Source organism: Homo sapiens, chromosome 6 (assembly GCF_000001405.40).
Source record: "Homo sapiens chromosome 6, GRCh38.p14 Primary Assembly".
NCBI classification, from domain to species: domain Eukaryota; kingdom Metazoa; phylum Chordata; class Mammalia; order Primates; family Hominidae; genus Homo; species Homo sapiens.
The window spans coordinates 167,342,940-167,367,128 of record NC_000006.12 but is presented as its reverse complement, the minus strand read 5'-3'; the positions used below and the strand labels follow the sequence as shown (position 1 = coordinate 167,367,128).

The 24,189-nt window shown below is 43.9% G+C and overlaps 1 pseudogene, besides 5 other annotated features; it reads right to left on the bottom strand.

The window, feature by feature from the left end:
• Positions 10,503 to 11,044: an enhancer, noted in NCBI's record as "H3K27ac-H3K4me1 hESC enhancer chr6:167769573-167770114 (GRCh37/hg19 assembly coordinates)". NCBI's record gives its function as "activates a minimal SCP1, AML or CMV promoter by ChIP-STARR-seq in naive H9 embryonic stem cells {active_cell/tissue: H9 hESC(naive)}" and the evidence as "EXISTENCE:reporter gene assay evidence [ECO:0000049][PMID:30033119]".
• Positions 15,354 to 15,648: an enhancer, noted in NCBI's record as "tiled region #6086; HepG2 Activating non-DNase unmatched - State 12:CtcfO". NCBI's record gives its function as "activates a minimal TATA promoter and a strong SV40 promoter by Sharpr-MPRA in HepG2 cells {active_cell/tissue: HepG2}" and the evidence as "EXISTENCE:reporter gene assay evidence [ECO:0000049][PMID:27701403]".
• Positions 15,354 to 16,150: a biological region, named in NCBI's record as "Sharpr-MPRA regulatory region 6086".
• Positions 15,472 to 16,150: an enhancer, noted in NCBI's record as "H3K27ac-H3K4me1 hESC enhancer chr6:167764467-167765145 (GRCh37/hg19 assembly coordinates)". NCBI's record gives its function as "activates a minimal SCP1, AML or CMV promoter by ChIP-STARR-seq in naive H9 embryonic stem cells {active_cell/tissue: H9 hESC(naive)}" and the evidence as "EXISTENCE:reporter gene assay evidence [ECO:0000049][PMID:30033119]".
• Positions 15,861 to 16,130: a silencer, noted in NCBI's record as "silent region_17791". NCBI's record gives its function as "represses an Ori minimal core promoter by ATAC-STARR-seq in GM12878 lymphoblastoid cells {active_cell/tissue: GM12878}" and the evidence as "EXISTENCE:reporter gene assay evidence [ECO:0000049][PMID:35858748]".
• On the bottom strand, positions 18,795 to 19,761 carry LOC100421518 (mitotic arrest deficient 2 like 1 pseudogene; annotated as a pseudogene).

Sequence of the window (24,189 nt, the reverse complement as noted above, 5' to 3'; positions counted from 1 at the left end):
AGCCAGGGAAACTTTATCTGTATTTACAGCCACTCCCCATGGATCCATTATACCTGAGCTCCGCCGCCTTCAGATCAGTGGCAGCATTTGATCCTCACAGGAGCGCAAACCCTACTGTGAACTGCGCACGCAAGGGATCTAGATGCGTGCTCCTTGTGAGAATCTAATGCCTGATGATCTGTCACTGCCTCCCTTCACCCCCAGATGGGACCCTCTAGTTGCAGGGAAAAAAGCTCAGGGTGGCTGGACACAGTGACTCACGCCTGTAATCCCAGCACTTTGGGAGGCCAAGGCAGGCCGATCACAAGGTGAGGAGTTTGAGACCAGCCTGGCCAACATAGTGAAACCCCATCTCTTCTAAAAAAACAAAAAATACAAAAATTAGCCAGGTGTGGTGGCAGGCACCTGTAATCTTAGCTACTCGGGAGGCTGAGGCAGGATAATCGCTTGAACCTGGGAGGCGGAGGTTGCAGTGAGCCAAGATCGTGCCATTGCACTCCAGCCCGGGTTACAGTGTGAGACTTCATCTCAAAAAAAAAAAACCTCAGGGCTCCTACTTGTTCTACATTGTGGTGAGTTGCATAATTATTTCATTATGATGTAATAATAATAGAAATAAAGTGCACAGTAAATTTAGTGCAGTGGAATCATACAATCTTCCCACAACCCACACCCATGCCAGTCCGTGGAAAAATTGTCTTCCACAAAACTGGTCCCTAGTGCCAAAAAGGTTGGGGACCACTGCACTAGATAATGAGAGAACTGTGTTAAAAATATCCCAGTTTGGGCCAGGCGCAGTGACTCACACCTGCAATCCCAGCACTTTGAGAGGCTGAGGTGGGCGGATCACCTGAGGTCAGGAGTTCGAGATTAGCCTGGCCAACATGGTGAAACTCTGTCTCTACTAAAAATACAAAAATTAGCTGGATGCAGTGGCGGGCACCTGTAATCCCAGCTTCTCAGGAGGCTGAGGTTGGACAATCGCTTGAACCCAGGAGGCAGATGTTGCAGTGATCCCATATCACTGCATTCCAGCCTGGACGCAGAGCAAGACTCCATCTCAAAAAAAAAAAAAAAAAAAAAACCAAAAAAACCCTAGTTTGGTTATGAATTTACTAATATTTATTTGTAATTTCTTTTAGTTAGTTAATATATGCCTGGTATATCTGTTTCTATTCTTTCTTTTGCTATTTTTAAATCTTTACCTTTAAATACGATCTTATAAGAAACAGACATTAAGAAAAATATATAATCTGAAAATAACTTTCCTTTTAACCTGAGGTTTTATTGCATAAACAGAAAATGTATCAGTGTCCTTACTGTCCTCTACAACCAAATCAAGAGTCTTTTAGTCCGAATTCCCCTCCCTAATCTTTCACGCCATTGTGTTGGCTTCTGCCAGGATTTTTACTCTAACTTGATTTTCACCCTCAGTATTAGTTATGATTATTACCGTGGTGTTTATGTAACCAGTGTTTACTTTAAACTTTCTAAATTTATGCAGAATTTGGGGCTCTTCTTTCTTATATTTTGGGCCTTTCTTCTTGGCACAATTTCCTTCTACTTGACGAGCATGAGGAGACGGGGGCAATCAGCCCTTTTGGCTCATCTGAAAATGTCCTTTGTTTTGCCTTGTTCATGAGTGGTCGTTCGTCCTGATGCACCTTCTGACCCCTCATCCCATAGCTATTACATGGCCACCCTGTGGCAGGCATTGTTTTAGGGCTAGGGATACAGCAGTGAGCAAATTTGTGAAAAGTTCTTATTTCATGACATTTTATTGGAGGGAAGCATAAAATAATCAGGTAAAAATAAATATCAATATAAAAATCAGTCTCTATGAAAAGCTACAGAGAAAAACAAGAGGGTAGAAAGCAGGGAGGGAAGGTGCTGGGCTGCTGCCCTAGGGGGCCATCTGTAGGCCGTTGAGGAGGGCCTCACTGAGGGGGGATATTTTAGGGAGCCATGAGTGACGTGAGAGAGGGAGCTGTGTGCGTGTCAGGAAGAACATTCTAGAGTGAGAAAGAGCCGTGAAAAGTGTGTGGTGTGTCTGAGGAAGAGCAAGGAGGCCGGTGTGGCAGGGGTACAGGAGATGAGGTCAAAGTGCCAGGACCAGGCAGTGTAGACCATTGTGGAGAAGCCACTGGAGAGTATTGAGCAATGGAATGACAGTGATTTTTCTGAGCGTGTTGAGGACTTTATTCCACTCCCACACGGTGTCTGCTGGAGGATCTGACGGTGGACTAATTTCTTCCTTCGAACGTGATTTTTTTTTTTACTTGCTGCTTTTAAGGACTCTTCTGTCTCCAGTTACATTATGGTATGTCTAGTTATGGATTTAATTTTGTTCATTGTATTGGGGATTTGTTGTGCTTTTTTTTTTTTTTGAGACAGAGTCTCGCTCTGTTGCCCAGGCTGGAGTGCAGTGGCGTGATCTCAGCTCACTGCAACTTCTGCCTCCCCAGTTCAAGTGATTCTCCTGCCTCAGCCTCCCAGGTAGCTGGGACTACAGGTGTGTGCCACCATGCCTAGTTAATTTTTTGTATTTTTAGTAGAGAAGGAGTTTCACCACATTAGCCAGGATGGTCTTGATCTCCTGATCTCGTGATCCGCCCGCCTCAGCCTCCGAAAGTGCTGGAATTACAGGTGTGAGCCACCGCAGCCAGCCCGTTGTGCATCTTAAATATAATCACTGTGTCTTTCATAAGCTATGGTTGCCAGATTTAGCAAATAAAAATGCAGGATGCCCAGTTGAATTTGAATTTCAGGTAAATAATAAATGATTTTTTGTACAATGCAGTATGTGGGACATACTTACACTAAAAAGTCATTTGTAGTGTATGTGAAAATTCAGATTTAACTGGGTGTCCTATATTTTATCTGGGAACCCTATCAAGTTCAGGGAAATTCACAGCTATTATCTTTATCTATCTTACCTTTCCTCCACATCCGATTATAGCTGCATGACACCACCTCATTCTAGCGTCTTTCCATTTTCACATATTATATTTTCTTGTTATCATCTGGGTAAATTATTTATCTATTTCCTCAGTTTTCTCTTCAGCTGAGTATTATGTGCTATTTAATACATCATTTTAGCTTTAATTTTGAAGACTATATTGATTTTATTTGTTCTTTTTCAAATCCACCAAGAATTTTTTCTCTCTTTCATTTTTAATTTCCGACTTTAATTTTTAAAATATTCTACAAACATTTGCCTTGTCATCAGTTTCTGGTAGCACCACGCTTGCTGTCTCGGAGCTCCGCGTGACACTGGCTGCTGCTAGCTTGTCTCTGCTTCCAATACTTCTGGCATTTCCTCATGGTGTTGCGCTTCCTCACCTATTTCATATTTGTGCTGGCAGCTTGTGTTGGTGGCGATCCTATGGGGCCCAGTCTGGGAGATAGTATCCAGAAAGCTTTGTGTTTGCTTCTGCCAGGTGTCCCGGGGCACGACCAGCCTGGGATCACTTCACGTTAGCTTCTTAGTTTAAGGTGTCCCAGGTACAGGTAGCAGAACTGCAATTGCTAAGGGTAAATGAGGGTCACCCTGTAGTGACACATTCTTTGGAAAGAGCTCAGAGAGAGACAGCAACACTCCTTTGTGCTCTCCATCTGCCGGCAGGGAGATATTTTCTAGTTCCCTCTTTCCTTGGGGCTCTAACCTTCAGAGAGTGTCCTCTTTAAGCATGGATGCAGTTCCAATTCCCAGACAAAGCCCTTCATCCTATCCCAGCAGAGCGACTAAGGGTCAAACCTCCTGGAGACTGCAGAGGTCACCAGGGCAGCTGCAGGTCAGGTTCGAGTCTGCGTTCCAGCACCCTCTGGGATTTGTAGCCCCTTCCATGAACTTGGGTGCTCATTTCCCAGGGATTTTGTGATTTGCTTGAGCATTCCTCGGTATTTGTAGTGGATGTGTGGCTGGGATGTCTGATCTGCCCCATTGCCAGGGCAGAATCAAGGCCGCTGTGGGGCATCTGCTCCTCCGTGACACAACGGACCTCCAGATGGGCCCTTGAAGCTGCTGAGACTCACATTGTCCTGTGAATTCCTGGCTCCCACCCTTTTTCTTTTTGTCCTAATATTTCAGCCAGTGCAGCTGTGTGTCTTGTTAGAATTTTTGCCTTCACAAGCTGTCATTTAGGCTCTGACTGGGCACATAGCAGCAAAGTGGGCACTAGAGCATTTGTTTTCTTGAGTGACCTCCAGCAAACATTCGACAAAGAAAAATTACACTTGCTAGTTTGCAAAGGCCATGCTGAGCGATTGATTAATATTAACGCCAGTCTTCTGAAAAAGAAAAGTATTTATAGGTCTGTATTTTATTTTTGTTTAAAAGACCTAAAACTTTGACTGTCAGCTGGTCCATGTAGAAGGTCTCTGATCAGTTAATTTTCCAGCAGGAATTCTAAGTTCTGTTACTGTTCTTGGATATATTTATCAGACATTCAACAGTTCTGCCTATGGCTGATATTTCAAGAACAGAGTGAAACAGAAGTCCCATTGTTTCCCACTCCTTCCATTTTACAGGTGCAATTGTGTGTCTCATGCATGGTTCTTATACATTCATACAAATCAGCCAAGAGTCAGGCATTGATATGTACCAGGCAGAATTCAGTTGCTCTCAGCTGTTGACCCAAAGAAGAGCCCCCAGTTTCTGCAGGGTGTTCCATTAATATACAACCGGAAAACAATCTTTTACCATTTTGTGCTAAAAATTATTTTAAGGGGTAGAATTTTTCCTCAGTTGTCAGATTCTTCACTGTATTCATTTTGCTTAAATACAGTTTGTGGGCTGGGCATGGTGCTCACACTAGTTATCCTGGTGCTTTGGGAGGCCACAGTGGGAGGGTCTCTTGAGGCCAGGAGTTAGAGACCACCTGGGAAACATACTGGTGCTTTGGGAGGCCACAGCGGGAGGGTCTCTTGAGGCCAGGAGTTAGAGACCACCTGGGAAACATACCAAGACCCTATTCCTTCAAAAAATAAAATATTAGCTGGGCATCATGGCATGCTCTTATAGTCCTAGCTACTCGGGAGGCTGAGGCAGGAGGATCACTTGAGCTCTGAGTCTGAGGCTGCAGTGAGCCATGATCACACCATTGCACTCCAGCCTGGGTGACAGAGAGAGGCCTTGTCTCTAAATACACACACACACACACACACACACACACACAGAGACAGACACACACACACGTATATGTGTGTGTGTGTGTGTGCTGCCCCTTATCTGCCAGAAACTGCTAACAGTTGACAATACAAACGAAAAAGAAGCAAATGGATATTAAAAGAACAAATGGAGGCCATGTGTGGTGGCTCACGCTTGTAATCCCAGCACTTTGGGAGGCCGAGGTGGACAAATTACTTGAAGTCAGGAGTTCGAGACCAGCCTTGCTCACATGGTGAAACCCTGTCTCTACTAAAAATACAAAAATTAGCCAGGTGTGGTGGCGAATGCCTGTAATCCAAGCTACTCAGGAGGCTGAGGCAGGAGAATCGCTTGAACCTTGGAGGTGGAGGCTGCAATGGGCTGAGATCACACTACTGCACTCCAGCCTGGACAACAGAGAGAGACTCCATCTCAATGAAAAAAAGAACAAATGGAAACTCATCAATTAAGTTTAACTTGGCAGCTTTTCTTTTTTTCACAAACACATCAAGCAGCTGTGAATGCACCCCACATGCAGGCACTGTAATCACCTTCCTGTTCCTGTAATGAAATAGAAGCAGTGCAGCAGTATTTCAGCAGGCTCCACAGTGAGTTCCTCAGCGTCCAAGGGTTCTGTCTCCAGTACAAGGTGAAAATCACTGTTATTCATCCCTGGAGGATACCATAGAGGGTGAATTATGGCTCTTTCCTACAATTTATTATCCAGCTGAAAACTGCAAATCAATATGAAAATGTCAAGTTGAATGTTTACCATAGCAAGAGTCAAAAGCATTCAGAAGCAGAGGGCACCGACTGTGGGGTTCATAATGGAGATTTGACCTCAAACATAGGGACTCAGGGAGTCAGACAGCGTATGGGTGGGAAAGGAAACTTTCAGCCAGGGAGATCACTTGAGCAAAGTTGGGAGAATCTAAATTTTGTGCTTTAATGAGACCGAGATCATTCTGCCCAGAGCAAGATGTTCAAGTGTAAATAAAAAAATGATAAGAGCAGGTACAAAAATGCATGTTGAATACCGGTTCTTTATGGAGTGTGCCTTATCCTGTTCAGGCTGCCATAGCAAAGTGCCATAGACTGGCTGGCTTGTCAACAACGGTGTTGGGGCTGGAAGTCCATAACGAAGGTGCCGGCAGCTTCACTGTCTGGTGAGGGCTGCTGCCTGGTTCACAGACGGCATCTTCTCATTGCAGCCTCACATGGTGGAACGGGCGAGACAGCTCTCTGGGGTCCCTTTAGTAAATGTGCTGATCCCATTCACGGGGCCCCACCCTCATGACCACGCCACAGCCCAAAGGCCTCATCTCCCAACACCATTGCTTTGGGGATTAGGTTTCAACATACGAATTTGGGGAGGACACAGCATTCAGCCCATAGTAGAGCAGATCACCACAAAGTAGGTTTAAGCAGCTAAGTGACACAAGCGTCCTGGTTTGGAAATATAAATTTACTGAATTTGCAATGATAGGTGTGTATGTTGTTTACAACCGGGTTGAAACAGTGAAACACAGCAAATGTGCTCTCAGATGTTCACACAGTTTTTCTTCTTGAGTATTTTCATACAATATTGAAGTCCTTAAACTTTTATTATAAGTAGGATTGCCAGATTTAACAAATAAAGATTCAAGTCCCTCACTGAATTTGAAATATCAGATAAACAACAGTAATTTTTGGTATAAAAGTATGTTCCATGTAATATTTGAAATACACTTATGTTAAAAATTATTCATCATTTGGCCAGGTGTAGTGGCTCACGCCTGTAATCCCAGCACCCTGGGAGGCCGAAGCAGGCAGATCATCTGAAGTCAGGAGTCTGAGAGCAGCCTAGCAAACATGGTGAAACCCTGTCTCTACTAAAAATACAAAAATTAGCCAGGTGTGGTGGCGAATGCCTGTAATTCCAGCTACTCAGGAGGCTGAGGCAGGAGAATCGCTTGAACTGGGGAGGTGGAGTTTGCAGTGAGCCGAGATCATGCCATTGCACTCCAGCCTGGGCAACAGAGTGAGACTCTGTCTCAAAAAAATAATAATAATAAAAATAAATTATTCATCATTTATCTAAAATTCAAACTTCACTGGCCATTTTGTATTATACCTGGCAATCCTAGTTATAAAGCCAGATGATTAGAAAATACTCTCTGTAGCTCACGCCTGTAATCCCAGCACTTTGGGAGGCGTTGGCGGGCGGATCACAAGGTAGAGAGATCACAATCAGCCTGGCTAACACAGGGGGAAACCCCGTCTCTACTAAAAATACAAAACATTAGCCGGGCGTGGTGGCAGGCGCCTGTAGTCCCAGCTACTCGGGAGGCTGAGGCAGGAGAATGGCGTGAACCCGGGAGGCAGAGCTTGCAGTGAGCCAAGATCCTGCCACTGCCCTGCAGCCTGGGTGACAGAGTGAGACTCTGTCTCAAAAAAAAAAAAGAAAAGAAAAGAAAAGGAAAGAAAATACTCTCTATAAATCTCATGAATATTTTATAGATTATTTGCATAGAACATGTTTCTAAACAGATTCAATGTAACATATACTGAAAAACTGCATTCTGCAGAAAAATTCTACCCCAATGGCTCCAAAGAAATCGTGTTTCCCGACGGGACGGTGGAACATCTCAAGGATGGACAGGAAGAGACCTTATTTCCTGATGGGACAATCGTAAGGGTGGAAAGGTCAGTAATGTCAGACAATGCGAATTCGAAACATCCCCAGTTTTTGTTTGTGTATTTAATAATTTCTTTATATTAATTTAGATTTTTGCAAACATTTAAGTGCTTGTATAAAAAAAAAGAAAATAATGTCATTGACTCTAGAAGTTTTGTCTTATGGCCTTGATTTGAATCCCTTTCTACAGACTGTGGGTTTCAAATGGGCTTTTAGGTATTTACTTCACCAACATTAGCTTCGTTTGAATTATAACCGTAAAAATCACTCCAGTCTTCAGTGCTCACCTCAGACCATGTGGTCTAGAAGCCCGAGTCTATTGCAGAACATGTGCAAGCAAATGTTTAAGGCACACCAAGGAAGAGCTCATCAGAGCTGCTATTTCAATGCTAGTTTGTGCAGAAAGTAAAGATCCACTCAGCTGCCCGAGGGAGAGTGTGGGAAGTTGTTTTACACCTTCCCTTTCTTTCCTGATATCAAAGTGAACACGGAGCGCTGTGGGCTGTGTCTCCTCGCTGTCTCGCCTCCACCCTTTCTCTGAGATCTGAGGTCTCCCGCTCTCACCATTTCTCCCCTGGGCAATTACAATAGACTCCCCCAGCTTCCTCACAGCAGTCAGAACCTTCCCTGTCACCTCCGGGGCCACTTTTCTGAAATGATTCAATGTGTGTCTCTGTCACTCCCTGTGTCAACCCTGCCATCCCTCTCACCATCAGAGCCAGCTGTCAGCACAGGCTTCAGCCTGCAGGTGAGCAGATGCGGCTGACCTCCCGCCCTGCCTCCTGGCCCTCCCCACCTGCCCTCTCTCACCCACACCGAGTTTCTGCCGATTCCCTGAGCCCCCCGTGCACCTTTCCTGCCCCTGCCCGTGGCCTTCTGCACCCTCATCTAACGAGATTTGGAAGGAGGGCTCCAGACCCGGGTGGGGGCATTATTCTGTGCGCCCCCAACCCCCACTGGCCTCCACCCTGGCACAGGCCGCCTTACCATGTGTTTCTCCTCTCAGGAACGGCGACAAAACCATTGTGCTCAGCAACGGGCAGAAAGAAATCCACACAGCCCGGTTCAAGAGGAGGGAGTACCCGGATGGCACCGTCAAGACTGTGTATTGCAGCGGCTGTCAGGAAACCAAGTATGCCTCCGGGAGGGTTAAGATCAAAGATGAAGCTGGAAATGTCGTCCTGGACGAGAAGCAGATGAGCCCTCAACACGCAGCATCACATGGGAAATGCCAATTGCAGATTTTTGCTAAAACAGACAAAAACTAATAACATATTAGCTGCCCTAAATGATCTTGGAGAGCCACCAAAACTTTAGGACTACCCAAGTCATCTAGAAATTGCAAAGGAAAAGACATTCTCTCCCCTATTTAGGAAACTTGGTTAGAGCAGCACACGTCGGAGAACAGGAGGCTCACAAAAGAACGATTTTCAGTGCCCCCAGCAAGGCTGCACCCTCCTTGATCATCACAGGGGCCATTTCTGCCTTGTGATGGACCCAGGAGGTCTCTGCAGAGCAAGTGCCGTTGGACCAGCTGATTCACAAAGTGCTGAGCCCCTCTTCCCCGTGTGGCCCACCCCAGGCACGGCTCATTCCTCCAGAATTATAGAAGCTCAGCCTGGCCTGCTCCCCTCTGGTCACCGACACCCCTGTCCTCGCTGGGACAAGAGGGAGACAATTCTAGTCACTACAAGGACACCCAAGGGGTGTCTGAGTCAGGGCTCCAATAGTGCAGTTATCGTGGCCTCTCGCAGCCCGGGGAGCACGTCGCCTCTTGAAACTCGAGATTTCTTAAATCCCAATATAAAAATGATAACCAGTTACTTACTTCTTTTGTTGTTTTGCAGGCCACCTAGAAATACAAAATGCCAATTCACCTAATTTTTATACTGAAATGTAGATGCCCCCAACATGATTTTGGAAAGATATAATTTCTTGAAAATCTTATCAGAAGATGCATAGTTAATTTTTTTCCATTATGTACTCATGTTTTTATGAAATACAATACCATATTTTAGGGCCAGGGATTATTTTAACCTTAAAATTGTGCATGCATCATTGTAGCCCTCAATATTTGGTAATGCTATTTAAAGTGACTCAAGAAGCATGTGCTATCTGGCTTTGAAGGAAAAAAAAAGAATTCTGCAATTACAGTGGATGGAGGCCTTTTCTTTTCAGATGAATGCTAAAGCAATGCAAGGCTGTTTGTCAGGCACAACTGGCAAAACAAATCCATTATTAAAAAGCTACTTTGCATTTGGCTGAAAGAATGGACTTGCCTATTGCTTTGATTGTTTTGAATCAGCTTATACTAAGAATTGTCGCTGAAGCAAACAAAACGATACACAGCTGTACTCAAAAAATGCACTTCTCATTATCTGTGGGAGATCGAGGAAGAAAGAAACATGCAATTTTATCAGGAAGCCATGCTCAGGCATCAGATCACCTGCCTGACTGGAAGTTTTCATTAAATATCATCTGCGGTGCACTCTCCAATAGTGATGGGTGTAAAATCTGTCATCCAAATAGGATTAATTCAGTGTGCGCATTCGGCGGGAAGCCCTTCGTGGAATATACATTCTGTGATATTGGAAATCAGTACAAGCTTATTAAAACAACACTTCATACTGATTTGCAAAAAGCCAGAATTTACTTTTAGTTCTTAACAATCTCCTAAAGGCTTCTTATTAGATGTACAATCTGATTATATTTATTACATTAATTTTGAGGAGGGGGTCCGTATTTACCTATTTGCAGGCACATTTATGCACAAATTGTAAACAAGCACATTTACTTGTTCAAAAAGGTAGCATTAAGACAATCATGAAACAATGACAGAGTATAAAGGGCTGGAAGATGGGGTGAGTCACACCCATCTGAGCCACTGTCTACTGCCACCTTGGAAGAAACCCTCAGCTGTCCCCCACTTCCTTTTCCCTAAGTGGGTGACACTTCATCCCCTGCTTGGCTCAGGGATGCTGTGGGGATGGGTGACAAGGGACCAGGACAGAGTCATCTCGTCCATTCCACCCAGGTGCTGCTCCTGAAGGGAGTCTCGGGTGGGGCCCTCCTGTCTCTGCGCGTGGAGTCCTGTGGGCTCCATGTTTTCCTAAGGAGCACAGGTCCCTCTCAGAGCATGGGCCCCCAAGTTTCATGGCCATCAGGCGCAGCCCCTCCCGCCCCTTCTCTCCTGCTCCTCATGGCCGACATCAAGCAGAAGGCCCTCCCTTAGGTCAGTCCTGCTTCCTCCGACTCATCATTCCTTCTGCAAACCTTCCTTGGCTCACCCTGCTCCATCCCCAGGCTAAAGCCCCCAAGAGCTCCCTGAACCCTGCACCCCTCGGGTCCTCCTCACACTGTATCCCAATGACCCTGGGACCTGCCCGTCCCCATCTAGAGAACACATTGAGGATGGAGCTCAGTCACCTTCACCTTCTCTCCCCAGCAGCTAGAGTGGAGAGTGGAGCCTCAGAGGCTCTGGAGCAAACGAAGAGGTGAGAACATGGAGAGGGGCCTCGTGAACTCTGATTATTGGTGTTAAAGTGAAAGGGATTTCAACATGGAGGCTGACGCCCAAAAATGAGGACTCTGATGCTCAGTTTATCAAATTCACCTTTGAAACAACCTTTGCTTGAGCACTTAAAGATTGATTCTAATTAAGTTGTCTTAATGAGTACTGCAATTATAGTTTTAGCATGGCTGATTCTTTTGAACAAATACCTTATACAAGAGACACAACCAAACAATTCAGATTATCACCTACTTCTTACCTCCACTTTGAACCTACTCTACAGCATTAACCATTTCCTCATTATTCTATATTTAATTTTTATATTTTCCTAGAATTATTACTATAATTATATTTTGTTGTCATTTTTACTTCTTTCCCTGCTTTAAAAAGAAAAACAGAAATTCTGTAGTTCGTCTTGCTGTGGGTGTGGGTGTGACAGCGGAAACTGTGTTACTCTCTGGTTATTCCTCCTCCAGCATTTTAAACTCAAGTCACTGGACATCGTATTCAACATTTTATGGTTAAACCTGACATGCTACATTAGCATTCTTGTGTTTCTAATGAACGCCGTTCACAAATGTTTTAGTTTTTTGCAACCTGGGATCAGGCCACATCATGACTTTCATTGCCTTTGTGGGATCTTTTTTCCATTAAAAAATTTAAACACGTAAGTTTTGTTACTGCATTTGTATAAAGGTGGATATATCAATCGTGTATATTGAAACATTTTCTTATACCTAAGAGTTTATTTGTTTCCTTCTGATTTTTAAGAGAAATTAAAACATTTTCGTGGGTTCCTAAAAGTATCGTGGGCCCTCATGTGCCTGAGGGAGACGCTGGCCCTGCCTGGCCTCTCGCCTTGTATATTTGAGTCTCCCCTGCCTGGTGTTCCATCACGCGTGGTCCTGGCATTCTGAGACGTCAGGAGAGCTGGTGTTGGTGTTGGAAACACAGGCATTCTTCACTTTCCGAATGAGCAGTGGCTTCCCAGAGAAGGTTCATCCTGGAAAGGCAGGGTGGGGCTGCAGGGCAGCTCTCTGGACTCACGCTCGGGGGTCCTCAGCCATCTCTGCTGTCAGGTGGCACCAACGGGATCGACTCTTATTTTTTGCTCTTGGCTCAATGCCCATTTTTTCCCAGGCTACTTGGCTTTCTTGTGGTTTCCCAGGTTTCTTATCTGCATCTGCAGATAGATACAGGTTTATATCTATACTTTAGAAGCAGACAATGGAAGGAGTAAGACCACATTCCTCATTTATTAAAGGGAATAAAATTAAATGTGTCATTATATTCTTTTGTATCACAACCATCTTTGTATATAACTTTTTTCTTCTGAATATCATTTTCAGTTTGTAATCAACTTACTTCAATTAACCATATTTCATTATTTATTTTTTATTATGAGTTGATTCTCAAACGACCAAAACTTTTCTGTCTTTGTATCACTTCCCAAGTGTCCTTGCTTGCTGGGAACACACAGCACCTGGCAGGCTGCACTAGCTCCTAGGCTGCTGCCTCACCTTACAGGCAGGCCTTGGGGATACTGTGGATTTGGTTCCAGGCCACCACAATAAAGCCCATATTGCAACAGAGCAAGTCACACAAATATTTTGTTTCCCCAGTGCCTATAAAAGTTTGGTTTATATTATACTGTAGTCTATTAAGTGTATAATAGCATTATGTCTAAAATATGAACATATCTTAATTTAAAAATAGTGTATTGATTTAAAAAATGCTAATGATCATCTGAGCCCTCAGTGAGTTATAATTGTTTTGCTGGTGGAGGGCCTTGCCTGGATGTTGATGGCTGCTGACTGATCAGGGTGGAGGTTGCTGAAGGTTGGGGTGACTGTGGCAATATCTGAAATAAGACCACAATGAAATTTACTGCATTGACTGACTCTTCCTCTCATGAAAGGTTTCTCTGTAGCATGCGATGCTGTTTGATAGCATTTTACCCACAGTACAACTTCTTTTAAAATTGGAGTCAATCCCCTCAAACCCTACCCACTGCCCCATCAACTAAGTTCATGGAATATTCTAAATCATTTGTTGTCATATCAATAACGTTCACAGCATCTTCACCAGGAGTCAATTCTATCTCAAGAAACCACTTTCTTTCCTCAACCATAAGAAGCCACTCCTGATCTGTTCAAATTTTATCCTGAGATTGCAGCAATTCAGTCACATTTTTAGGCCCCACTTCTAATTCTAGTTCTTTTGTTATTTCCACCTCATCTACAGTTACTTTCTGCAGTGAAGGCTTGAACCCCTCAAAATCATTCATGAGGAATGAAATCAACTTCTTCTAAACTCCTGTTAATGTTGATATTGGTTCTCCTCCCGTGAATCATGAATGTTGTTAATGGCATCTAGAATGGTGAATCCTTTCTAGATGGTTTTTAATTGACTTTGCCCAGATCCATCTGAGGAATCACTATCTATGGCAGCTATAGCCTTTTGAGATGTATTTCTTAAGTAACAAGACTTGAAAGTTGAAATTACTCCTTGATCCATGGGCTGCAGAATGGATGTGGTGTTAGCAGGCATGAAAGCAACATTCCTCTCCTTGCACATCTCCATCAGAGCCCTTGGGTGCATTGTCAATGAACAGTAATAATTTGAAAATAGTCTTTTTTTCTGAGCAGTAGATCTCAACAGTGGCCTCAAAATATTCAGTAAACCACTCTGTAAACAGATGTGCTCCCATCCGGCTTTGTTATTCTACTTATAGAGCCAAGACAGAGTAGATTTAGCATAATTCTTTTTTTTTTTTTTTTTTTTTTTTTTTTTTTTGAGACAGAGTTTGACTCTTGTTGTCCAGGCTGGAGTATGATGGCATGATCTTGGCTCACCGCAACCTCCGCCTCCCGGATTCAAGCAATTCTCCTTTCTCAGCCTCCAGAGTAGCTGGTATTACAGGCACCCACCACCATGCTTGGCAAATTTTTTGTATTTTTTTTTTTTTTAGTAGAGACGGGGTTTCTCCATGTTGGTCAGGCTGGTCTCAAACTCCTGACTTCTGGTGATCCACCCACCTCGGCCTCCTGATTTAGCAAAATTCTTAAGGGCCCTAGGATTTTCGGAATAGTAAATGAGATTGGCCGCAAGTTTAAGTCACCAGCTGCATTAGCTCTTAGCAAGAGACATCCTGTCCTTGGAAGTTTGAAGATAGGCATTGACTTCTCCTCTCTAGCTATGAAAGTCCTAGATGGCATCTTCTTCCAACAGAAGGCTGTTTCATCTACACTGACAATCTGTGGTTTGGTGTGGCCACCTCCATCACTTACCTTAGCTAGGTCTCTGGATAACTTGCTGCAGCTTCTCCATCAGCACTTGTTGCTTCATGTTGCACTTTTATGTTATGGACATGGTTTATTTCCTTAAACCTCATGAACCAACCTCTGCTACATTCAAACTTTTCTTCTACAGCTTTCTCACTCCTCTCAGTCTTTGCGGAACTGAAGAGAGTTGAGGCCTTGCTCTGGATTAGGCTTTGGCTTGAGGGATCCATATCAGCAATAAAGCTGTTTCACTTTCTCGTCATTCATGTGTTCACTGAAGCAGCACTTTTAATTTCCTTTAAGAGGTTTTTCTTTGCATTCACAACTGAGCTAACTCCTGGGTGCAAAAGGCCTTGCTTTCAGTCTATCTTAACTTTGAACAGGCTTTCCCCACTAAGCTTAATCATCTCTAGCTTTCGATTTAAAGTGAGAGATGTGTGTCTCTTCCTTTTACTTGAACACTTAGAGGCCGTTGTAGGTTATTAATAGTGTAATGGGAATAGGGAGGCCTGAGGGGAGGGAGAGAGATGGGGGCAGCTGGTCAGTGGAGCATGTGGAACACACGTGACATTTATTACGTTTTCTGTCTTACGTGGGTGCAGTTGTTGGTTCCCCAAAACAATTACAGAGTAAAATCGAAGATCACTAAGTACAGATCACCATGACAGATATAATGATAATGAAAAAATTCGAAATATTACAAGAATTACCAAAATGTGAAACAGAGATATGAAGTGAGCACAAGCTGTTTGAAAACGGGACCCACAGATGTGCCCCAACGGAGTTACCACAAACTTCCAATTTGTAAAAACAAGTGCAGTATCTGCGAGGCACAATAGAGCAAGGCGCAACAAAACGAGGTCCGCCTGTGCGTGCGAACCCCTCGCAGGGAGGCTGTAAACACAACGCAGGAACATCATGAAAAAGCCCGTTCCGGCGCTGGGCTGCAGAGGGCGCTGTCGGGTAAACAGGTCATTTCGCGGCACAAAGCAGCTCACAGCGCATCTCTGAAGTAACGCGGTCAACGCGGTCAGATTCACCTTTCCAACATGTGCCATGCAACAAACTGGGTCACTGAAAACCGCGGAAGTTTATTCCTCACCCCCCCCCCCGCCCCCGGACCAGGTGGGTTGCGCCCTCAGGGAGCTGAGCCGTCCCCGTGAGGCCCCTTCGCTGCCAGCACAGTTCAGCTGTGCCGTCCCCAGCGCTGCGGTGCCTGTAGCTGGTGTGCGGAGGAATCGTGGTCAGAAATGTGCACACGTGGTCCAGACAGACGGCCCCGTGAGTCTCCGAACAGAAAAGAGGGGGGCGAGGCGGAGTCCTGAAGGCTAGGCTTGCAGAGGCGGGAGAACCAGGCAGGGGGCCACGGGCCTGCGGGGCTCCGGACAGCGACAAGGGCGGCGCCCCCCACCCGCCTGCGCTCCCGGAAGGCCGAGTCTGTCAGCGCTGCCTGCGGTGTGTGGCAGCTGCGCGCTCCTTCCCTGTGGGGCAGAGCTGGCTGGAGCCACCGCCTGAAGAAACTGGGCTCTGTCCTCCGCTCCGGGGAGGGGATCGTGGCCAGTGGATGCTGAGTTCCTTCTGTTGCCTGCCGCAGCCCACAGCGAAGTCACTCTGAAGAGCATCTCGCTGGCCTGCGCTTCTGCTTCTAGGCGGCTCTGACCTTGACACCCCTTTCCTCTTCTGCTTATGCCTTCGAATCCTACATTAAGGGAAATGGGGATCCTGTTTTGAAACCAAATGAGAAAGAACCACAACCCTCAACTTCAAAACACTTCCAGTCTCCTGAAGGTTTTTTAGATTCGGAGATCTCCACCCATTTCCCAGGGTCCTTGAAATGTTTCCTGGAGCCGCGCCTCTCCCAGTGCTCTGGCTGGAGACAGCAGCGGTGGCTGTCTTCCTCCGCGTCCTTGTGAGCACCCAGTTTGGGGTGGAAGAGTCAAAAAAAAAAAAACCCAGGAACGCCCCACCCTGTCGTTCTCAGGGTCCCCCGGCTCCCCCGGGCTTCCTCTCTCCGCCTCTCGTCTTCCTGCGTTTGTCTGATGGGCACTGCCCGAGGTTTCCGGTTGCACCTGCGGGACGGAGGAAAACGCACGCCTGTTCCATCTTCTTAGGAGGGGAATTCTGAGGCTTTTTGAATGACCACCGTGTAGCGCCTTAATTCTCCTTCACTTTCACCGGTTTTGTCTGCCCCACCTCAGGAAGACTGTCTGTGTTCTTTCCTCCATAGCCCGGGCACCGAAGGCACATGCCGTGCATACAAATTTCCTGTCTCGTCTCAGACTCCACGTGAGCTCGTTATTACTTCAATTTAATCTGCGCACGTTTCACCCTAGGAGAGATACTGCCAGATGTGGCAGCTTCTCCTGACAGATGGCCCGAGGCCATTCTTGCCCTAAAACTTCAAATGCTCACATAAAACCATCCTTCCTAACAACACAGGTTTTCCCATTTCTGTGAGGTTGACCTTTACACCTGAAGAGTCATCGAAACCCAGCTAGTGATAAAGAAGTGAAGATTTCAAAAAAACGGAGGGAGAATGGAATCTGGTCTCTGGTTTTCAAGCGATTCCAGTTGCTTGATTTAGTCTCATTGGAATGTTTGAGCATTTGAGGAAAAGGCCCTTAACTCTATTTGCCAAACCCCATAAAGTAGGAGCTGAACTGACATTTAAAATCGGAGCAGCCTTGACGGGCTTGCGTTCTTACTTGCGTCCTTTAAATCTTTCCTGGAACAGAGTTGAGAACGTATAAATGTATAAATGCGTGAAAACAGGCAATGAACAAAGTGTTCATTCCAGTCTCGTGTCTAAATTCCCCGGAACATGTTTTTTCTCCTGCCTTTTCTCTGAACTCCATGCAGGTCAAGTCACAGCCTTTTTTTTTTTTTTCTTTTTTCACAGACTCTCACTCTGTCTCCCAGGCTGGAGTGCAGTGGCGCGATCTCAGCTCACTGCAACCTCCGCCTCCCAGGTTCAAGCAATTCTCCTGCATCAGCCTCTGGAGTAGCTGGGACCACAGGTGCACACCCCCACGCCTGGATGAGGTCATAGGCTTTGTCAGCTGTACCCGCAGTCTCCCTGTGCACCCAGCCACGGTTAGAGGTCACTGTCTTGACCCTGGCGGTGACCCTTGCTCTTTGCAGTTGTGCCACCCACTCTGCATCCCTACTTGCAGCAGCTTAATCTGGCCTCTTTCAAAATAATTTCAACCGACGGTAATTGTATATATTTCTTAGGTACAATGTGAAGTTTTGATGTATGTTTGCATTGTGGAATGATTGAATGAAGCTAAATAACATATCCATTACTTTACAGGCATCATTTTTTCTGTGTGAAGAAAACATTGAAAATCTATTATTTTAGCAATTTCGAAATATACACTACATTATTATTGACTATCGTCACCATGCTATGCAACAGATCACTAGAACTTCTTTTATTCCAGCACTTTGGGAGGCCGAGGCAGGCAGATCACAAGGTCAGGAGTTCAAGACCAACACGGTGAAACCCCGTCTCTACTAAAATGCAAAAATTAGCTGGGCATGGTGGCACTCACCTGTAGTCCCAGCTACTCAGGAGGCTGAGGCAGGAGAATGACTTGAACCTATGAGGCGGAAGTTGCAGTGAGCCGAGATGGCGCCACTGCACTCCAGCCTGGCGACAGAGCAAGACTCTGCCAAAAAAAAATAATTAATTAATTAATTAAAAAATAATAACACGTTTAACTTTATTTCTTCATTTTTTACTTAAAGCTTGATTATATAAAATAAAAAATTTTTTCAAGAGTTCTACATCACAGGACATTAAACAGTAGAAATATCTGTTCCTTCATAGGTTCAAGTTATATAAATTAAATCTGTAAATTTATTAAATATGGAAAACTACATGATGAAATAAATGTCAAAAGGATCCAGTAGAGCAATATTGCATTGCTTATGGATTATTAGTTACTTTCAGGATCTAAACCAAGATTCTAAATATTTAGACTGCTTTCATTGTATTTTATATTTAAATATCTCCCTACCTGTGCTGAGTCAAGCCACTTTACCAGAATGTCTGATTTAAGGAAGCATTTCATTTTATAGCAAAAGTTTTTCCATCTACAGTTACCATCTGCAATGGAATTTACACTACGGTGCTGACAAAAACCTCCTGGTTCCTTTTGAACAATGTGCAATAAATTCATTATGTCAACCCCATGGTAAGCCTAACAGGTATCAAAAAAATTGACCAATTACACAAAGTTCAGTAAAGTATAATATTGGTTTTTCCCATGTCAACATTAACCAGTGAAATAAAACATATCAGCTATAGTTGACTTGGTTTCAGGAAAACCACGTTTGAAAATTACACTATCTTCCTCATGTCATCCTCGGTCATTGACAAGGTTTTGTGGGTCACCACGCTGTGAGCTGTGTGGATGTAGCAGCAAATGAATGAAGGGAGACTTGCTCGGATTGGTCATGAACTGTGGTCCCCACTCTTCCCATCTTCCAGGTACAACCAGATCTTTGCATAAATCATAGATCGAATGAACAAGAAAATTCAACAGTTGCAGAAATGTCACTAACTGTGGTTCATCTGATCGCTGGATGGATTTTGTCCTGGATAGCTTTCTGAGACTTTTCTCTGGGTTCAGTGTCCTCCTTTCTCTGGGTTACCTGTCCTCCTTTCTCTGGGTGCGCTCTCTGTTCTCTGGGTGCACCGTCATCTTTTGCAGTCTTGTCACACTCAGTATCAAAGTGCCTTCCTTCAAGGACATCACCACTTTCAATATTTGCAATGACTGTGGCGAATTTATGAACGAACATTTGTATAGCCAATCCTTTGGTTGTTCGAGCACATTATTTAGGTATTGTATGAGCACAGGATCTGTAGTTACAAGCAAGGTGAGTCTGTACTCTGCACTCCAATGAAGGCTTCAGGTGGGTATGTGCTGTGCTGATATAAAATGCTGTTGATACCAAATGGGAAGAACTCAGCCAGGATTCCACGCTCCTGCCAGGGTGATTCTCTGCTCCTGGGAGAGCTGCATCGCCTCAGCCAGGCCCACAGACCAAGGCACATGGGTTTCCACTTGGCCGACCAAGAGCGCAGCCGCTCCCCCGGCCCCTCCCGCAGCAGTTCCCCACCACGGCTTCATAGAACTTAGTTCTTCTGCCTCACTGAACTTTGTACCCTTTGACTAGCATTTCTTCATTTGCCACCCCTACCCACTCCTCAGCCTCTGGTAACCAGCATTCTACTCTCTACTTCAATTAACTTAACATTTTTAGATTACATGTACAAGGGAAGACCTGTGATACTTATTTTTCTGCGCCTGGCTTTCTTCACTTAGCATAATGTGTTTTAGGTTTACCCATGTTGTCACAAATGACAGTGTCCTTCTTTTTTAAAGGCTGAATGGCGTTTCATTGTAGATATACACCAGCCTTTCTTTATCCACTCATCTGTGGTTGGACACTTCGGTTGCTTCCGTGTCTTATGGGGAATAATGATGCCAGGAACATGGAGGTGCAGACATCTCTTTGACATGTTGATTTCATTTCTCTTGAAAATATACCCAGAAGTGGGATTGCTGGATCATATGGTAATTCCATTTTTTGTTTCTTGAGGAACATCCATACTTTTTTAAAACAATGGCTGTATTAATTTACATTCCTACTAGCAGTGTACAAAGACTTCCTTTTCTCCACATCCCCAGCAAAACACAAAGTGTGATATCACTTCATACCTGTTAGAAGGGATATTGTAATGGATCACCTTTTTAATAATATCCATTCTAACAGGTATGAAGTGCTCTAGTGGTTTTAATTTGCATTTCCCTGATGATTCATGATAGTGAGCATTTTTTCATGTATCTCTCGGCCATTTGTGTGTCTTCTTTTGAGAATGTCTAGTCAGGTCCTTTGCTCGTATTTGAATTTTTAAATATATTTTTGAAACTAGCCCCTTATCACATACAGAGTTTACAAATATTTCCTCCCAGCCTGGGGGTTGTGTCTCCCCTCTGTTGTTTCCTTTGCTGTGTAGGCGCTTTTAGTTTGATCTAATCCCATTTATTTTTGTTTTTGTTACCTACTCTTTTGGGGTGATATCCAAGAAATCATTGACCAGACCAATGTTGTGCAGCTTTTTCCTTATGTTTTGTTCTAGTACTTGCACAGTTTCAGGTCTTTTGTTTGGGCCTCTAATCCATTTTGAGTTGATTTTTGTATGTGGTGTGAACAAAAGGTCCAATCTCATCTTTCTGCACTTAGTTTTCCCAGCACCATTTGATGAAGAGACTGCTCTTTCCTGTTGTGTGTTCTTGGCACCTTAGTCAAAGATCAATTCCCTGTAAATACGTGGCTTGATTTCTGGCCTCTCTATCCCGTCCCACTGGTCGATGCGTATGTGTTCATGCAACCACCATGCTGGCTTGGTTACTCTAGCTTTGTAATCTGTTTTGAAAATAAATAGTGCTATGCTTCTAGCTCTGTTCTCTATGTTCAGGATTGCTGTGTCTATTTGGGGTCTCTTGTGGTTCCATACAAATTTTAGGATTGTGTTTTCTATTTCTATGAAAAATGATATTGGGATTTTGATAGAAATTGTATTGAATCTGTAGATTGCTTTGGGTAGTGCAGACATTTTAACAATATTCATTCTGACAGTTTATGAACACAGGATAATATTTTAATATGTGTCATCTTCAATTTCTTTCATCACATTTTACAATTTTCAGCGTACATATTTTTCACCTCTTTGGTTAAATTTACTGCTAAGTATTTTTATTGTTTTGATGTTATTGTAAATGAGATTTTCTTAATTTCTTTTTTATATAGTTTGTTGTTAGTGTGTAGAAATGCAACTGCTTTTTGCTTGTTGATTTTGTATCCTGCAACTTTACTGAATTTGTTTGAGTTTGCAACAGTTTGGGGTGAGATCTCTAGGGTTTTCTATATATAAGATTATGTCATCAACAAACAGAGACAATTTTATTTCTTTCTTTCCTATTAGTTTGTTTGTTTGTTTGTTTTCTTAATGCTGACTAGGACTTCCAGTATGATGTTGAGCAGAAGTGGTGAGAGCAGGTATCCTCATGTTGTTCCTGACCTTAGAGGAAAAGGTTTCAACATTTTACTATTGAGTATGATGGGAGCTTCAGGCTTGCCATATACGATCTTTACTGTGTTGAGGTAACCTCTTTGATTCTACTTTGCTGAGAATTTTTATCATGAAAGGTTTTTGAATTTGTCAAATCCTTTTTTTGTATGTGTGTCTATCAAGATGATCAAATGATTTTTGCCCTTTGTTCTGTTAATATGGGGTACTATATTTATTAATTTGCCTATGTTGAACCATCCTCAAATCCCAGGGGAAAATCCACTTGATTCTGATCCTTTGAAGTGCTGTTGAATTCAGTTTGCTAGTATTTTGTTGAGGATTTCTGCATCTATGTTCATCAGAGATATTGGTCTATAATTTTCTTTCTTGTAGTGTCCTTGTCTGGCCTTGTAAAATGAATTTAGAAGTATTTTCTTCAGGTTTTTGGAAGAGTTGAGGAGTATTGGTATTTGTTCTTCTTTAAATATTTGGTAGAATTTAGAAGTGAAGTCATCAGGTCCTGGACTTTTTTTAATGAGCAACTTTCTATTATGGATTCAATATCCTTACTTGTTATTGGTCTATTCAGGCTTTCCATTTCTTCATGATTAAGTCTTGTTAGGTTGTATGTGTCTAGAAGTTTATCCATTTCTCTTAGGTTATCCAATTACTTGGAATATAATTATTCACAATAGTCTCTTATGATTCTTTGTATTTCTGTGGTATCAGTTGTAATGTCTCCTCTTTCATTTCTGATTTTATTGTCATCTTTTTTTTCCTCAGTTAGTGAAAGATTTAACAATTTTTTTATGTTTTTAAAAAACCAAGTAGTTTCATTGTTCTTTTCTATTGTTTTTCTAGTGTCTATTTCATTTATTTCTGCTCTAGTTTTTATTTCCTTTCTTCTGACTTTGGGTTGAGTTTATTCTCCTACTTCCCTGAAATGCATTGTTCAGATGTTTATTTGAGATCTTTTTTTTTTTTTGATATGGACATTTATTGGTATAAACTTTTCTTTTATAACTTCTTTTGCTGCATCCCATAAGTTTTGGTATGTTGTGTTTCCATTTTCATTTGTATCAAGATATTTTAAAATTTCCTTTTTAATTTCTTCTTTGACTCAGTGGTTGTTCAGGAGCATATTGCTTAATTTCCACATGTTTGTGATTTTTTAAAAAAAATCGTCCTGTTTTTGATGTCTATTTTTATTCCACTGTGGTCAGAGAAGAAACCTGATATGAATCCAGTCCTCTTAAAGCTGCTAAGATTTGCTTTGTGGCCTCACCTATGATCTATCCTGGAGAATGTTCTGTGCATGACTGTTAGGTCCAGTTGGGCCAATGTGAGTTTCAAGCCCAATGTTTCCTTACTGATTTTCTGTCTGGATGATCTGTCTGCTGTTGAAAGTCGGGTATTGAAGCCCTCCTGCTGCTATCATATTGCAGTCTATGTCTCCTTTCAGATTGATTATTATTGGCTTTACATATTTAGGTGGCCCAATGTTGGGTACACAGACTTAAAAATTGTAACATGCTCTTGATGAATGGGCCCCTTTATTATTATGTAAGGACCATCTTTGTCTCTTTTTACAGTTATTGACTTAAAGTCTGTTTTTTCAGACATAAGGATAGCCATTCTTGCTCTCTTTTGGTTTCCATTTGCCTGAAATATCTTTTTCCATCCCTTCACTTTCAGTCTACCTAAACCACCTGCCAAGGAGTCCTGGAGAAGTCACGCACAGCAGTGCCTCAGCAGGCAGGTCCACCTACATGGTCCCAGCTGTGGATGTGAAAATTACCCTGTGCCTTGGCACCAGCCCCCCTCAGCTGTGGTTGCAGGTTAATCCTGCTCCTACGAGGACCCAGAGAGAGACCCACCCATCTGAAACACCCAGAGGCTTGCGGTGGGTCTTGTTCCACAGCAGATGCTGACGGGACCCTCTCTTGGCTCTAGGCCCTCTCGGCTGTGACCCAGGAGCCCTCTTAACAACACAGGGGCCTGCTGGGAGACTCGCTGGTCTAGGCCACCACGATAGGGTTGCTGGCCTCTGTCCCATTGCAGAGCCTGAACAAGCTCTGAATGCTGACTCCAGCCCCATTCTACTGCCACCCAGGAGAAGTTCCAGTCACATAGGGAACTGCTAGAGTCTCACCCACCAGTGCCCCTGGATGGAGCTTAATGAACTTGGACCCTTGCAGATCCTGACACAGCCCTGGGGCTCGGGTCTAGCCTTTCCTACCAGGCTATGATCTGGGAGAGTTCTGCCGAGCCGGGGTCCTGCCAGGAGACACACAATTCCGTCCCTGGAGTAGGCTTGCCAACCTCTGTCCTATGGCAGATCCTCAAAGGGCCCTGGACCTCGGTCCTGGCCCATCCTGCCTGCAGACTGAGAGTGGTTCTGTCCACCTGGGGACCCTGGAGGCACACGTCTAGCAGTGCCCCTGCAGGCTGACTTCTGACCTTGGTCCACGGGGGATCTTC